The following is a 17,100-nucleotide window of genomic DNA, read 5'->3' on the forward strand; positions in this document are numbered from 1 at the left end:
TTCAGGTATTAGTCACCTCCTTTATTGTGGGAAAACCCTGGTGCTTTGGTTACACACATGTAAAACTGTAATAGCAAATCACTTCTTTAGAGTGGCTGATAGTCTCAGAAAAATAAACTCAGGGAACTGTACATACTATAAATGTATAATGTTAGAAATTCTGACTCTTACATCCACATCTCCTTTCGTTCTCTTTCTTTTCCTCTTCTTGCCCTCAAAAGAACTTATAGCATGTATCTGAAATACACAATTAGTGTGAACATTATTTGTTTTGCCAGATTATTTGACAAAACATTGTGGTGTGTGAATTAAAACTTATGCTAGATTCAATAAATAAACTAGGAATAACAATATGAGGTAGGCAATTATTGGAAAATATTATTTAAAGTGGGCCATTACCTAATTGGAGTATTCTACATTTTCACGTAGATTTTATTTTCTATTACTTAATGTTATCTTGTTTCTTTAATAAGATTTGAAAGAAGTAGAATTGGCAATAAGACTAAAGAATAGCATAACTGGTTTTAAAAGGGGGCAAAACAACAGATAATTTAAAATAGAAAAACAGAACCTTATATTATAGGGGAGAAGTCTGTATCTCGAGACAAAGAACACTAAGGAGTATGTAAAATTAACAGTGTATCTCCAGAATAATACACAAAAACAAACACACAGACAACTGGCAATAATATCTTATACTAGCATATAGTGAATTTCCTTTCACAGGGCTCTGAAGATGTTTTGTATGGTTCACTAAACTTAGCATGGGGATTTCAGAATTAGAAAATGGAGATAAATTAGAAAGGGCTCATGAACAGAAAGATAGATAAAGGACTGTGGAGTTTACCCCTTAGGAAACATAATTGAGTGAAAAATATGGTTTGACTCACCACTAATATAAGATACAGCCTCTAAGAATGTGATAAATTTGAGTAACCCAGATCCATGGTATTTAATGAGTGTGTGTTACAAGCACTAGGCAGTGGATAGGCTTTTCATCCCGTGGGCACAGCAGTCCTAGCTAGACAGTATTGCTGGTTGTACATATGCCTTTAGGCTTCTGTGAAGGCAACCAGAGATTTTAAGGCTAGACCAGAGATGTCTGAGCCTCAGACAGGAGACAGTCTCTTGAATAGTGCAGGGGCTGTTTAGAGGCATCCCAGTTAGTGTAGACTCCTAGCAATGCTCAGAGTACAACAAACCCTCCGCATCAGCTTATTGACAGCGAAAGTGAGAAGCCAGAGCAATGTCTCCAAGAGTGTTGTGTTTCCCAATGTCAGAAGTTGTCAAGCTGATATTTATTACATTGTGAAGACTAGAGAGCTGTGTTTTTAAATATTCTCCTACATGTCAGTGACCCCAGAGGCAAGGCCTTTGCCTTTCAGCCAAGCTATTATTTCCCATGGGGATCATGATAAAGGTAGTGGAGAATTTCAAACTCTCGATGATGAGAGCAAAGGGAGTTGTGTCAGCAGTAGCACTGACAGAGATGGCAGGGATGTGAATTCCATCCAACATGGAGAAAGAGCTCAGAAGCACAGTGGGTGAGACACCGGAGGGATATGTATTGGTTGTGACACAGGACATCTCAATAGTGTGTGGCTCCATGACTGTTCTAGAACCAGGGGAACTTTGGAAGCAAATTGTAGTATCAGCGGTGCAAAGTGCTCTTCCTCCAGCTGATGAAGACTACAGCTACTGTTGTAGTCTTGCAATGGGTGGCATTGGAAGCTATTCTTGAGTGGTGTGACTGCACATTTGGGTATTAGGAAAAGTAACATAGAAACTTTCAGAAGACTTAACTCAGTTGCTAGGGCAGAGATGACATTGTCTGATCTCCATGGGAATCCTGCACAAAAACTTGGCGTGGGGCCTCCTATGTCAAAACATGATTGAACCAGGTCTTTGTTTTCAAGGAGTCAATTTTGTCTGATTTAAGATTTCTAAGGGAAGAATGACAAATGGCCCCTTTATCAGCTTCATGCAATCTGATGAGTAGAAGCTGATTGCAGAAGCATGGGCAGATCTGGAATGGGGTACATCCAAATACATTAGGAATATCTATGATTTCTATCTACAGATATACTTTTAGCTATTTAATCTCATTTCATTTTCTCAAACTCAATAATCATATTTCTGTGAAAGGAACACAATAGTAATATTGACTGCTTTTATATGTTGTTATGTATAATTTCATCTTAATGTATGTGTATGTATGTTTGCAAAATGTGATATTAACAGTAATGAGGTGATATTAACGTAATTGTTTTACATATAAACAAATATTTATGCAGTGTTTTACAATTTTACATGTGTTGGTGTTTGCTTATGTCCAATCAGGTGGCCCGAGAATTTGGAACTGCTGTTGTGTTGTGTGTAGGGGTCTAGTCTATGCTACTTAAGTATGTGCCACCACTTACCCCATACACATCAAAAAAGAGAAAAATATACTATTCTTGTAAGTGAAGAACCTGTTAGACACTTGTAGTTAGGATAAATGTTTTTACAAGCTCATTAAAAGAGAACCAACCTGGCCAACATGGTGAAACCCTGTCTCTACTAAAAATACAAAAATTAGCTGGGTGTGGTGGTGCATGCCTATAATACTAGCTACTTGTGAGGCTGAGGCAGGAGAATTGCTTGAACCTGGGAAGCAGAGGTTGCAGTGAGCCAAGATTGCGCCATTGCACTCCAGCCTGGGTGACAGAGTGCGACTTTGTTGGGGAAAAAAAAAAAGAACAAGGTGAAAATCTGATATTTGTGCATTCTTTTAGAAACAAAAAAAAGGGGGATGGGATGGAAGCATGAGGGTTATGTACTTTAAACAGTTTTTCCTAAAAGTGAAATACGCAACAGGGGATGAGAAGGTGAAGCCCAGCTCCTCACAGATGTGCCAGTTCAGCTCAGATGAGTAAAGGGTTTTGATGGCTAATACGAGGCTTAAAGGACACTTATTGGTTCTTGCCTTTTATGTGGAGGATTTCTCTGGAACTTATCTTGAAATTTAAAAATATTTTGTGAGAAAAACAAGGGAAAATTTCAAGGTCTTCGACAACGTGAGTTCAAAGATACTTCTACACAAACAGTATTTCAGATAAAGTATTTGTTAGGTTGAAAATAGGTTATTATTGTTATCCTAATGCATAATGAGAAAAATTGAAACTATTATAAACCAATATGTTTAAAGATGATTCAGCCTTTTTTTTTAAAGCTGACCTTAGCAAGACACTTGCAAGAACAGTTTTAGAGACACCATGTCTTTTTCTATATGTTACTTGGGAAGAAGGATGAACTATGAGGAAAGACTCATCTTTGGCTGGAAAAGCATCCACTCTTGGCATTGAACCAGCATATTGGATCAAAGAAAACTAGATCATGCCAAGGAAAAAAGAATTGTATTCTCTAAAGGGCACTGCAACATTATCTTCATTGTTTATTTTCCCAAGAAAGAAAGACAAAGAAAACATGTTAACAATAGCTAATTTGAGATGATGGAAATATAGATATTTATTACATTATTTTCTATACATCTTTATATTTTTAAGATTCTGCACATATAAAATATGTTTGAGTAAACAAAACTGTTATATAAATCTCCCATCGCTTACGTCTGTACTCTTAAGGTTCACATTAGAGTGTAGAAAATGGTAAATAGTAAATACCACAAAGGAAACCATAGATTAAGACTTATAACATTTTAAATCATGCTTTCTGCCACTCATAATGATAAGCTAAACACTTACAATTTTCATTTTTTCCTAATTCCCTATTTTTATCTTAGCACTTTCTAGTTAAATTGAATTAAAGTCAGTGAGTGTTCATGAACTGTGTCCCACATGCTGGGCAGTGTGTGTCACTGGGGCTGTGCCAGGTGGGAGGCAGGGTGGCCTGGTGGGTACACAGTGGGAGCTGGAGCCAGCCTGCCTGGCTTTGCAGCTTGGCTCAGCTCCCAGCCAGCTGTGTTGTTTGGGAAAAGCTATTTCATGTTCTGCACCTCAACTCCTCATCTGTACAATGTGGAGGTAAAAATAATACCTACCTTCTAAATTGCGAAGTGGAAATTGTTGTGAAGAGTAAAGGTGTAAATACATATTTAGTACTGAGGAAAGGGCCTGACTCATAAGAAGCATTCAGTACGTGCTCATATTATTATCAAGAAAGAGAGACTTGTTCTCAAGGAGATGGATCTCTTGTGGCTCACAATCCTTTTCACATAGAAAAAAAAAAAATACATTCTTTAAGTAAACTACAATATCTCAAGGGGAATCTTTCCTTGATCAACTTCTTCCAGAGACTTAGAAGGTATAGTGATTGAAATGGAAAAAAAAGTAGTAAAAGTGGAGCTCAAGACCATAAAGAAATTAAAGACATTAAAGAACATTAAGAAATGTACTAATCTGATACATGTCTGAAGGTATTAGCATCATGTACTAAGTAAAGGATTGTGTTAAAGCAATGGACACTAGTTAATCATTTTAGAGTTTTATAGTCTTCAGAAAAGATGTCCACAAGGAAGAATAGGCCATGCTCCTAGTGTTACTTAGAAAAAGAAAAGGGGAAAAACAATATTTGAATGGAGAACAGAAGAGAGAAATAAACATTTGAGTTGGTTTTGATTTAACAGGACAAATTGAATAACAAAATTGTTTAAATAAACTAGCAACAACTCCCATTCTCCATGCCACACAACACACATACACAATGGTGAAGATGTGGCACTTTTTTTTGGATTTGATCTATCCCAGTATAAATTACTAAATTAGCAAATCACATCTTTTTTAAAAAAACTTATGGAAATAATATAGTGTTGACATATATTTTAGTTACCCCATTCATCAGGCTTCTAATGTCCTACTGTGGGCTGTAAACTCAAATCCATGGGAAGGTAAATAGAGCAGGCAACAGAGGCAGGTGCACCTGTGAATGCTCTGCATGTGTGGTGATGACTCTGGAAAGCACATCCTCTCTAAAAGGGAAAGCAGTTACTTCTGCCCAATATTCAGGCTCATTGTTCCAGAAACTGGGATTCTTATTTGAAATCTTTTAATTTTAAAATCTTCCAAAAATGAATTAAATGCCATTTGCCTAAAGGTTGCCTTTTTTTCTGTTTTTTTAAATATACTTTTACAATTACCCTAATGTAACATGACTCCATGAATGTGATTTTCCAGTTATGACTTGGTATACACCGAAGAATGTCAATTTTTATCACTTTGTAGATAAATTGAATGGCTTGCTGTTTCCTAATTATGCCCAGTCCTGTCCTATATCTGATCCTTTTCTCATATTATCAAAGGGTTTCCTACCATCGTTTCTCTGTTGAAATTCTACCTTGCACAAATGCTGTGACCACTTGAGACTTGATGCTGTTACTTCCAGTTAAAAGCAACTTTTCTAACTCAAAATCTTCATAGCATTTTACTTATGTCTCTTATCTATAGATTTCTACCTTTTTCTATAAGTATTTTCATTAAGATGAAGTCCCAGTTATTCTTATATGAGCAAAATAATGCTTACATAGTGCATGCTTATAGTAGTAACCACTGTTTTCATTTTGGTATATTTCTTCCATTCTTCTGCATAGAAATGAAGCAAAATAATTTACCAAGATCTAAAGTGGCTATATAAATTTAGCCATGTACCAACAGTATAAGAACTCCTTTAACAGCATTAAGTAGTTTCTTTCTTGTTTAGTTCTTACTAATTTAATAGGAAAAACATGGTCTTTTATACTTTGAGATTTTTTAAGAATAAATATCCTATTTATTAAGATTTGTGCTATATTCAGGCTAAGAATATTTTCATGATAGGACATATGATAATAATATCAATTATGTATGTACTAAGCATTATACTAATCACTTTATAAATTTTAATTCATTTAATCCTTTAGAAAACCCTACAGTGTATGTACTATTACTATCCTGATGTTATAGAAGATTGAGATTCCAAAAGGTCAGGTAATTTGCCAGCAATTACATAGCTACTAAGAGGCAGAGACAGGACTAAAACCCCCTTCTTACTTTGATGATGTACAGCACCTCAGTATGACATTTTCAATGTCCATTTTGTTTTGTGGATGTAGCTTTTCAAGCAGTGGCTTCCTGTCACATTTTGTGCACAGGTGGGGCTTTATAAAGCTCAAAAGATCGGTTGCAATTTCTCTCCAGCTTTCTACAGAAGCTGGGTTTATTTAAAGTTCCTGTGGAACCATTTTATCAGACAAACATCTATGATTTTTCTGATTGATAAAGTAAGTTTTGAAAACAATTTAAGCTTGAATTTAAGAAGGTTTTAGGGTATCTTTTATCATAATTTGTGTGATATTCCACTGACTTTTTTCTTCTTTCATAGTAGATCTGTGCCCAAGAACCTTCTAAGAATAAAATTACAAGGAGTACTTTTACTTGAAGTAAACGTTATATGCAGAATATGGATAAAGAAGTAGGCAGCTCAATATTTTAAAGCAAAGATGACAGGACTTTCATATTACGGCTTATTAGAAAATTTCTTTGTCTAATTCCGAACTTGCTCAGAAACTTTAATATTTCTAGCTTTGTTTTTCGCTTCTTGGAACAAATATTATACTGCTATTGGCAACAGATTTGGGAAATACACTTTGATGAATTATTAAATGTATTTAGTAGCAACAAGGGGAATACTGGTAAGACTGGAAGATCTCAGGAGGCTTCCTTATAATTCCTTTGCCCCACCCCCCCAGCATGAAAGGAACAAAAGAAGCATGGTAAGCTGACTCACAAGAGCTATTCACAAGTCAGCGTCTGTCTCTGTAATGGTAAAACATTCCATATTTTACCTACTAACTTCTCTGATAAGTCATCTTTTCCCGTACAGCATCTCAAGTGTGTCATCTTTTATGACATGTGGGTCAGTCATATCCCTCCTTTGCATTCAAGTTTCTCATCTTTTATTACCATATGTTCCAGGAGTCTACTCTTCTCTCCACCTCTCCAGGACATCTTTTCCTGTCTATGTGTCTGGTATGTGACAGCGTTTCCCTTTAGTGTGTTTAGGGAGGAATATCTCTTTTTGGCATGGATTCCATTTGTGACATTTTTATGTCCCCGGAGCATCCACATTTCAATTTTTTCGGGACTGAGTATTCTTACTGTGGATGTCGTTTTTAACTTTTGTTTGTCAATTACATGCTACTTTACTGCTACAAGTACTGTCAGTGAACATTCATTGTTGCATCCTGAATTTTGTGTTCAGACAGTGGACACAGATTTGGCTTTATGTTTTTGAATGGGGATGCTAAAGGAGATTGGTGAAAGAAATCGGTTATCTCCTTTTTACATTAGGTAGAGATTTTTTTTTTGTTCCCATCAATGCCTCCAATTTTTTTTCCCTCATTGCCTTTTGACTCCTAGCCTCAATATAATTCTCTGGAAAACTACCGTTTACTTATGCCAAGAAGGAAGATTAAAAGGTATGTGTATGCATGTGTGTGCATGTGCACAAGTGGGTTTTTTCAGTAAAGATTAGAAGGGGAGAAGAAGTAAACCTTCGTTTAATGCCTACAATGCGATATGCATGCTAACATGTGTGTGTTCACATATTAATTTTCATGTAATTGATACTTATTATAGTAGTATAGATAAAAGCACAGACTGAAGCTGAAACGTTTGGGTTAGTATCCCAGCTTCAACATTTGCTAGCTATTTGACCTTGGTGAAATCTCTAAACCTCACTGTGGACCTGATATTAGTATTTGTAAAATGTGAACACTATCATTTGTTGAGATTGTTATTGTGGAGTTTAAACAAGTTAAAGGTTAATAGTTTGGTTTGAATTCTGGTCCTCTTTACATAGAAGCTGGCATTTGCTCTGGAATCTTTAGTATTATTAGTCCTTAAAGTGACTGCAAAAGAGTAATCACACCCATTTCTTTCTTTATTTATTTCTTTTTCTTCTTTTCTTCTTCTTTTTTTTTTTTTTTTTTTTTTTGTTTTGAGGCAGAGTCTTGCTCTGTCGCCCAGGCTGGAGTACAGTGGCATGATCTTGGCTCACTGCAACCTCCGCCTCCCAGGTTCAAGTGATTCTCCTGCCTCAGCCTCCCGAGTAGCTGGGACTGCAGGCATGCACCACCATGCCCAGCTAATTTTTGTATATTTAGTAGAGAAGGGGTTTCACCATGTTGGCCAGGATGGTCTCAATCTCTTGACCTCGTGATCCGCCCGCCTCAGCCTCCCAAGGTGCTGCTGGGATTACAGGCATGAGCCACCCCGCCCGGCCCACGCCCATTTCTAAAGATGAAATAGTTCAATGGGACAGAATTAAGGAATTTCTCTTTTATAAAACACCCAATTAGTGACAGTGATGGAATCAGGACCAAAATCTGTGTTTAGGTAAGATACAGGTTTGGCTGCTGTGAAAAAGACCTAAAATACCATGCTAGAAGATGGTCGACATTTTAGATCTTATATAAAAGTCAGCTGGTTTAAGGTACCAGCAATATTTCAGGAACCCACAATTCTATCTTCTGGCTCCACAATTCTTAAGGTTTGTCCTTGTTTGGATGTCCAAGATGGCAACAGTAAAAAGCGATGGCGTGTCCCTTCCTTTGAGATAACAGTTCGCAGGTCTGGTGGCACATTAGAATCATTGCAGAGACTTTTTAAGAAATATTGATCCCCAGTCCCTACCTGTGAGAGATTCTCACACAGTTGATCTGACAGAAGGTCAAGATGTTGATTTTTTTTGGCATTATAATACATCCACAAATTAATATTTATTTATTTATTTATCTTTAAACTTTTATTTTAGGTTCAGGGCTACATGTGCAGGTTTGTTATATAGGTAAACTTGCGTCATGGAGGTTTGATGTAGAGATTATTTCATTACCTAGGTACTAAGCCTAGTACCCAATACCCAATAGTTATTTTTTTCTTTTTCTCTCCCTCCTATTTGTTTTTAAACAAATGGTTTTTTTCTTTTTTTTTTTGAGACAGAATGTCACTCTGTCCCCCAGGCTGGAGTGCAGTGGTGCCATCTTGGCTCACTGCAAGCTCCGCCTCCCGGGTTCCCGCCATTCTCCTGCCTCAGCCTCCTGAGTAGCCGGACTACAGGCGCCGGCCACCCCACCGCGCTAATTTTTTTGTATTTTTTAGTAGAGACGGGGTTTTGTGTCCGGAATTGGTGGGTTCTTGGTCTCACTGACTTCAAGAATGAAGCCGCGGACCCTCGCAGTGAGTGCTACAGCTTTTAAGGTGGCGCCTTTGGAGTTTGTTCCTTCTGATGTTCGGATGTGTTCGGAGTTTCTTCCTTCTGGTGGGTTCGTGATCTCGCTGGCTCAGGAGTGAAGCTGCAGACCTTCACGGGGAGTGTTACAGCTCTTAAGGTGGCACATCTGGAGTTTGTTCCTTCTGACGTTCAGATGTGTTCGGAGTTTCTTCCTTCTGGTGGGTTCGTGATCTCGCTGGCTCAGGAGTGAAGCTGCAGACCTTCAGGGGGAGTGTTACAGCTCTTAAGGTGGCGCGTCTGGAGTTTCTTCCTTCTGGTGGGTTCGTGATCTCGCTGGCTCAGGAGTGAAGCTGCAGACCTTCACGGTGAGTGTTACAGCTCTTAAGGTGGCGCGTCTGGAGTTTGTTCCTTCTGATGTTCAGATGTGTTCGGAGTTTCTTCCTTCTGGTGGGTTCGTGATCTCGCTGGCTCAGGAGTGAAGCTGCAGACCTTCAGGGTGAGGGTTACAGCTCTTAAGGCAGAGCGTCTGGAGTTGTTCCTTCCTCCCGGTGGGCTGGCTGGGCTCAGGAGTGAAGCTGCAGATCTTTGCGGTGAGTGTTACAGCTCATAAAAGCAGCGTGGACCCAAAGACTGAGCAGTAGCAAGATTTATTGCAAAGAGCGAAAGAACAAAGCTTCCACAGTGTGGAAGGGGACCCAGCGGGTTACCACTGCTGGCTCGGGCAGCCTGCTTTTATTCTCTTATCTGGTCCCACCCACATCCTGCTGATTGGTAGAGCCCAGTGGCCTGTTTTGACAGGGCGCAGATTGGTGCCTTAACAATCCCTGAGCTAGATACAAAGGCTCTCCACATCCCCATCAGATTAGTTAGATACAGAGTATGGACACAAAGGTTCTCCAAGGCCCCATCAGAGCAGCTAGATACAGAGTGTTGATTGGTGCATTCACAAACCTTGAGCTAAACACAGGGTGCTGATTGGTGTGTTTACAAACCTTGAGCTAGATACAGAGTGCCAATTGGTGTATTTACAATCCCTGAGCTAGACATAAAGACTCTCCACGTCCCCACCAGACTCAGGAGCCCAGCTGGCTTCACCAAGTGGATCCCGCACGGGGGCTGCAGGTGGAGCTGCCTGCCAGTCCTGCGCCGTGCGCTCGCACTCCTCAGCCCTTGGGTGGCCGATGGGACTGGGCGCCGTGGAGCAGGGGGCGGCGCTCCTCAGGGAGGCTCGGGCTGCACAGGAGCCCACGGAGGCTGGGGGAGGCTCAGGCATGGCGGGCTGCAGGTCCCGAGCCCTGCCCTGCGGGAAGGCAGCTAAGGCTCGGTGAGAAATCGAGCACAGCGCCGGTGGGCTGGCACTGCTTGGGGACCCAGTACACGCTCCGCAGCCACTGGCCCGGGTGCTAAGTCCCTCACTGCCCGGGGCCAGCAGGGCTGGCCAGCTGCTTCGAGTGCGGAGCCCGCCAAGCCCACGCCCACCCGGAACTCCAGCTGGCCCTCAAGCGCCGCGCACAGCCCAGGTGCCCGCAGGCGCCTCTCCCTCCACACCTCCCTGCAAGCTGAGGGAGTGGGCTCCAGCCTTGGCCAGCCCAGAAAGGGGCTCCCACAGTGCAGTGGTGGGCTGAAGGGCTCCTCATATGCCGCCAAAGTGGGAGCCCAGGCAGAGGAGGTGCGGAGAGCAAGTGAGGGCTCTGAGGACTGCCAGCACGCTGTCACCTCTCAGTTTCACCGTGTTAGCCAGGATGGCCTCGGTCTCCTGACCTCGTGATCTGCCCGCCTCGGCCTCCCAAAGTGCTGGGATTACAGGTTTGAACCACTGCGCCCGGCCTAAACAAATGTTTTAATTGTCTCCTATTCAAGCTGCTGGTGAGGGAAGCGATTCCTGCCCTGGGTTAGAGTGATGGCCAAACATAGGACACCTGACATTGAACGGATGAGATTGACGGCTGTTTATTAGTCACGTGTACTCACAGCCCTGAGGGAGGAGGACAACACATGCTTCACAAGACCATGTGAGGTTTTCCTTGGGACCGGAGTGAATAATTAGGAGTTATGGGAGGCAGGCTTTGTAGTATCAGTAGGGAAAGATGCTCCCTAGTTCCCTGAAGAGGATGTCATTGGCTTGTTTGAATAATTCTGTGGGCTGGTGGTAAACTGAAACCCATTGCTCAGAAACTGTGACTGGGTTCTCTGATAAGGACGGTTGCTTGGCTATGGCACCTTATCCACAGGAGCAGAGTGAGAAGGAAAGCTTGCAACTAGGTCATTCGAGGTTCTCCAAGTTTACCAGATGTCAAAGCAGCACGTAATATTCAGCCTTAATTTTAGGCTTTATTCTATGACAGTCCATGATAGATTTTTCTGGTTGGCTGGCAGTTTTCTTCCATACGGTGATTCAGGGATTCAGGTTCCTTCTCTTTCGTGAATCTTTTATCCCCTAGGGTCTTGTCATCATTTACTTCCAATCAGCTGAAGAGAAAAGGAAAAAGACAACATAGAGTAGGCACATTTATTGTTTAAAAAGGATTGGGCCAGAAATATCAAACTTCACCTTCTACTCCATGACCACACCTAGGAACAAGGTGATCCAGGAAACGTAGTCTGGACTTTGCAGTTTTCCTGATCTAACCTCTATCACTTTAGAAGAAGGGATGGGGTTTGAATCAACTGTCCATCATTACCTTAAGCATCTCTACTATGGTCCAGGGATGTATTTTTTATTATTTTATTTTATCTTTCTCTTACCATTGCCCAGAGTTTAACCCTTTATCTGTTTTGTATTTTATTTTCAGTGTTTCTGTACTCATAATTCATAATCCCTGCTTTCCCCCCACACCCCACCACATAATTAGTACTTTTCTTTCATGCTTAGCTAACTGGACTTTGTATCCTTATAAAATCTTTCCAGACTACTCTAGAAATTTTGCTCTAAATTCCTCTATAAGACACTTCCTTTGAATTATTTGATGATAATGATCACAAGAACTTGTGAGATTTTTTACATTGCTTTAGTATAAACTTATTTAATTTCTTTATTAGTATTCCATTTTTCATATTTATTTTGACTACTTAATTAGATCATAAGTTCCAAAAAGTTAAGCACAGTTTCTGATGCTTACTTGTGTTTGTTGACTTTTTTATAAAGTAGGAGAGTTTATGCATTTGAAATGCAAATATATTCACACCAATAACAGATTATATAAAACTGGTATATTTAATGCATACAACTTTTGGGATATACTTAAAATGCAATTCTATTTTGATCTCTCCCTCTTTATTTAAATTTTATTTAGCAGGTTTTTTTTCCACTGCCACTGTGAAAAATAAGAACGGTGGCAGGCATATGGCTTTTATGATCGATTCTAAATAATAGAACACCATAAAGTCATTTTTATTCACAGACACTCTCAAATGTAGAAGAATTAGAATTTCCAAGCCAATATATTCATCTTCAGTCTTCATTCAAATGTGACTTACATTCCTTGTTTTCCCGTAAGCACTTATGGGGAAAGGTGAAAGGGTTCATCTTTCTCTGGCTATAATGCCTTTGTCCAACATCATTGTCTTTCATTTCCCATCTCTGCTAAAGGAACTTGATTTAGAGAATTCCTGCATTTAGGTAAGACTCTATAGGTCTCTTTCTATACACATTAGATGGTCCCTATTTTACTTTATTACATTTCATAGTAATTTTCTCTTTATACTCTTTTATTATTTAATTATGCTTCCATCTCCCATACATTCTTTCAGAACTGTTTTCTAAAAGTTTCATTCCTTTTCTCAGAAAAGCAATGCATTTCCTAAGCCAAAAAAGTTTCTCTTCTCCTTCCCAGTGGATGTTCAAGAAGAACAAGATTTTCTTTCTTCTTTTCATATGTGTGGTGTATCAAATTTTCTGATGACTTTATCACTGGATTTCTCACATAGTATCTAAAGACTCAAGTGTTTCCTTTATACGTCTGATATCTTTCTTCTATATACTACGTATCTTGCCTTCTTATCAACACCCTGTTTTTTGTTTGTTTGTTTGTTGTTTGTTTGTTTTTTATGAGGCCAGAAGTCTCTACTCTTTGTTTCTATGCATGATGTCTTTTCTTTCATTGCAGAGGGTCAGTTCTTTCTTTCTGGCCATTCGTCTTTTGGCTCCCAGGAGCAGCACCCTTCTTTCTACATGGTCTTTCTATAGCATCATTTGCTACTACTGTTTGAGCCTCATGGGCAAATTCTTCCCTTTATCTCTCAGCACATGATGCTTTATTAACTCTATTAGAGTTCAGAGAATTATTTTCTGTTTTCATTGTATTAAACCATTGCTTTTACTTCCTTTTGTTCTAAGTTACATGGTCTTTTCCTCCCGCCAAAGAGATGAACTGTAATTTCTCTTATGTTAAATGAGATTTATCAGCACTTCTATCTATTATTCATCAGTTTCATATTTCACATTTATGTCTACAGTTTGGATTCCTCCTTATAACTTGAGGCTATTTTACTTACCCTTGTGTGATTAAGAGTTTATAAGCATTTCATTTCTTCTGCTACCTTGTAAAACTTCTTTTTTCATTTGGCACATCAGACAGAATGCATTATATTCTCCCATTCAAATAGTCAGTAGCCACGTTGCTATTTTGTATTATCTTGGCAATATATCACTGTTCCTTTTTCTATATCACAGCGATATTATATTTTACTGAATGTTAATCTGCATAGATATAATTTTTTATACAGTCTTTTTAATATTATTCAAAAGGTTTAGATATTTTGTTTGCCTATTAAAACATAAATCAATCACAATTTTTGATACAATATGAGTAATTTGATTACTCACATTTTTTAATAGGTAATTATCACATATTGCTATTTATATCTCAGGGCATATTAACTTCTATGATTTAATTTTTGTCACTAGTATCTGTTTTCTATATTATTTTTATTTGTATCTTTATTATATTCTCGTTTCTTCTGATTATTTTTATTCAATTAATCTGTGATATATAGACCCCAAAATAAATACTATAATCTGACCATACATGATAGTGTTTTAGACATTTAAAAGCTACATAATATACAATTTTTGCCCTCAAGAAAATTACAATCTGGAAGGAGAAATATATGCTTAAGCCAATAATTAAAATCCAGTGTGATATACATAGCAGTAGAAGTAATAAGTGAACAGAGGAGAGAATTATTAACTCTGAAGACATAGGGGAATGCTTTACAGAGGCAGGTGACTCTAAGCAACACTGCTAAGGCCTGTAGTAGGTCTTCATATAGTCAAGGAAGGAAGAGATTCCTGATAGATGGAATGGCATGCACAAAGTGTTTAAGCATGGAGCCACAAGGTTCGTGGAGGCCACAAGTGATTCAATGTTGCTAAAGCAGGAACTGGTTAGGTTGATGTGGGTGAGCTGTGAGAGATGAGGATGGAAAGGCAGATGGGTGCAAGTCATGAAATATCTTACCTGTCATTCTCAGTTGGAATGTAGACTTCAGTCTATAAGTGAGAAGAAACCAGAAAAGGTATATAATAAGGGGAAATGATTTGGTCACATAGAACAAGATTTGGTCACTGTAAACCCATGGGTTCTGAAGGTGGTAGCAAGACAAAAGTCAGCAGGGCCAGTTATGAGGCTATTGTCCGGAAGAAACATGTGGAGAGGCTGAACAAAATTAGTGGTGATGGAGAAGAAAAGGATGGACATGGACCAGATGGACATGCACCTGAGCAGGAGAAGCATCTACGATGATGAGTAAATTGCTGGCTTTGGGGATGAGCTACCATGCTGGGCTGGTTACCCTGGAGGAAGAACAGCACACTCCATGTCAGCCTTATTTGTTCTCTGTACTGTAAATGCAGAGTTCTATTCTATTAGAAAGCCTGACCTCATAAGCCTTGTGCTTCCTCAGGCTGCTCACTTTCAGTTTTGTAGTTCAACATAATATTTTTCTGTATAAGAAATACAGGCTCACATGCCGCTGAGGCAGCTAGTAACAATTCAGGGCAGCTGCAAGTGGCAGATCTCCGAATTGCAGTGGTGCAATTCTCAGCAGCCTGTAGCTCATGAAGTGACTTTTCATGTAGTCTCCTTATGCAGGGACTGATCCACAGAATCAAAATTTTGGTGGCACAGGATAAGCATGATTTGTTATATTTATGCCCCCAAAGCTGAATCAGTGTTATTTTATGCTAAGCAGTTTTATTAACATTCTAGTTAAGTGATTGGTTCTATGCCTCAGATATATCTAAGCATTCCGTGAGGATAAGTAGGATGCCAACCCAGAAATAGGCCATAAAACTAGTTTCCTGGTGAAACTCATACAAGAATGCACTGATGTAAACTTTATATTTTTCCCCATTTAAAAATCCTTAAACACCATCTTTTTTTAAAAAGTAGAATCTGGGTTACCGTGTCCTAGAAGAGCCTAATAATAGTCTTCCTTAGCTGGGATGCACCATCTGTTCACTCTCATAACTCACTTTATTTTCCCCCTCAGTAAATCCCATGGGTATTGTCTTTTCTACCTAGTCGCTAGAAGTACTTTTAGTTATCTTCCAAAGTTATTCAGATGTTTTAAATATCCTTCTCATACATTCCAGAGTTTTATTTTGGGGTTCTCTTTTATTCCTCTAGGTGGACATTTTTTTCCTTTTCTTGTCTTTTTTTAAACCGTGTTCCCCATGGTTATCTTTCTCATCTGTCATTCTACGTGCTCAAAACCCTCAGCTGAAAGGGAGTGTCTATTACATACCCATCACCAATGCACAATATATATGAGATTCCCTTATCTTTATAATTATTATTTTCATTCTTGACATATTCCTCAAGGCTTCATTTATAACAATGCTTCCCTGAAGAGTGTTTACATTTCTGTCAAGGAGCACAGAGTGTCTCACTTTTCCCTAGTAGAACTCAAGAATATTTATCTTATCAATGTTCCCGTGAGCACCATCCTTGCGCATAGCATTTACCAGCGACATCGGTTCCAACACCTCATCTTTCACCTCCCCTCTCCGCCCTGCCACATACATCTCTGTGAATTCCAGATGCACCTTCCCTCTACCCCCCATATGCTTCATCTGTTCCCAGTGTAATCCAGATGCCTTGTATTTTCTTCCAGGGAAATGCGGGATCTTTATAAGCCATCCCTCGTGAGTCATTTTTCTGTCTTTACGTCCAAGTCTGTTGTATTTTTCCCCATTGTGCCACAGGTGCATATGGCTCTTCTTCTTCCCAGCACAGATGTATACTTCCTTCACCTTCTGTTCTCTTATCATTGCTGTTTTACGTGCCCCTGGTACACCTTTTTACCTCATATGCTGCCCAGCTGTGTTATATTTTCTCATTGCTAGCATCCATCAATATTGCTTGCTTTAAGGGAGCAAGTTGCTTCTCTTGCTTTAGATGAACAAAAGACATTTCTATTTTTCTTAGTTTAAGCATGTCTGACTTTTTTTCTGAGGCATGTTATGTGGATTTACTCTTTGGTATCGTAAGGGTTTCTCATAATCTCTTCCATTCCAGTGGGAATATGTAGTGTTGTGTCTTTCTTTTGAAACAGAATCTGGGGTCATCATTTGCCTTTTCATTTATATTTATTATTGTGTTAAGAAAATACTGGTTCAGAGTTGACTAAGAGCAAGGTCTAGAGCTGAATCCTATGCTTAACAGAATGAAGAAGACATAGTTAATGGGTTAATTGTTATATACAGAATAATCTCGTCTCTAAGCTTTCTGATAAATGGGAAAAAATTCTTATACAATTCTTTTTGTGTCAATCAGAACACACAGAACAAGGCTCTATATGTCTACATTTTACGTAAAGTATATAGGTATTTCTCATCATAAACTAGCTATTCTGACTTTTTCTGGAAGTGCCCTTGTTTAATTGCACTGAGTT

At 39.1% G+C, this 17,100-nt stretch overlaps 2 annotated features.

The window, feature by feature from the left end:
• Nucleotides 8,952-9,111: an enhancer, noted in NCBI's record as "active region_2251". NCBI's record gives its function as "activates an Ori minimal core promoter by ATAC-STARR-seq in GM12878 lymphoblastoid cells {active_cell/tissue: GM12878}" and the evidence as "EXISTENCE:reporter gene assay evidence [ECO:0000049][PMID:35858748]".
• Nucleotides 9,432-9,841: an enhancer, noted in NCBI's record as "active region_2252". NCBI's record gives its function as "activates an Ori minimal core promoter by ATAC-STARR-seq in GM12878 lymphoblastoid cells {active_cell/tissue: GM12878}" and the evidence as "EXISTENCE:reporter gene assay evidence [ECO:0000049][PMID:35858748]".

Source organism: Homo sapiens, chromosome 1 (genome assembly GCF_000001405.40).
Source record: "Homo sapiens chromosome 1, GRCh38.p14 Primary Assembly".
Lineage (NCBI taxonomy): Eukaryota > Metazoa > Chordata > Mammalia > Primates > Hominidae > Homo > Homo sapiens.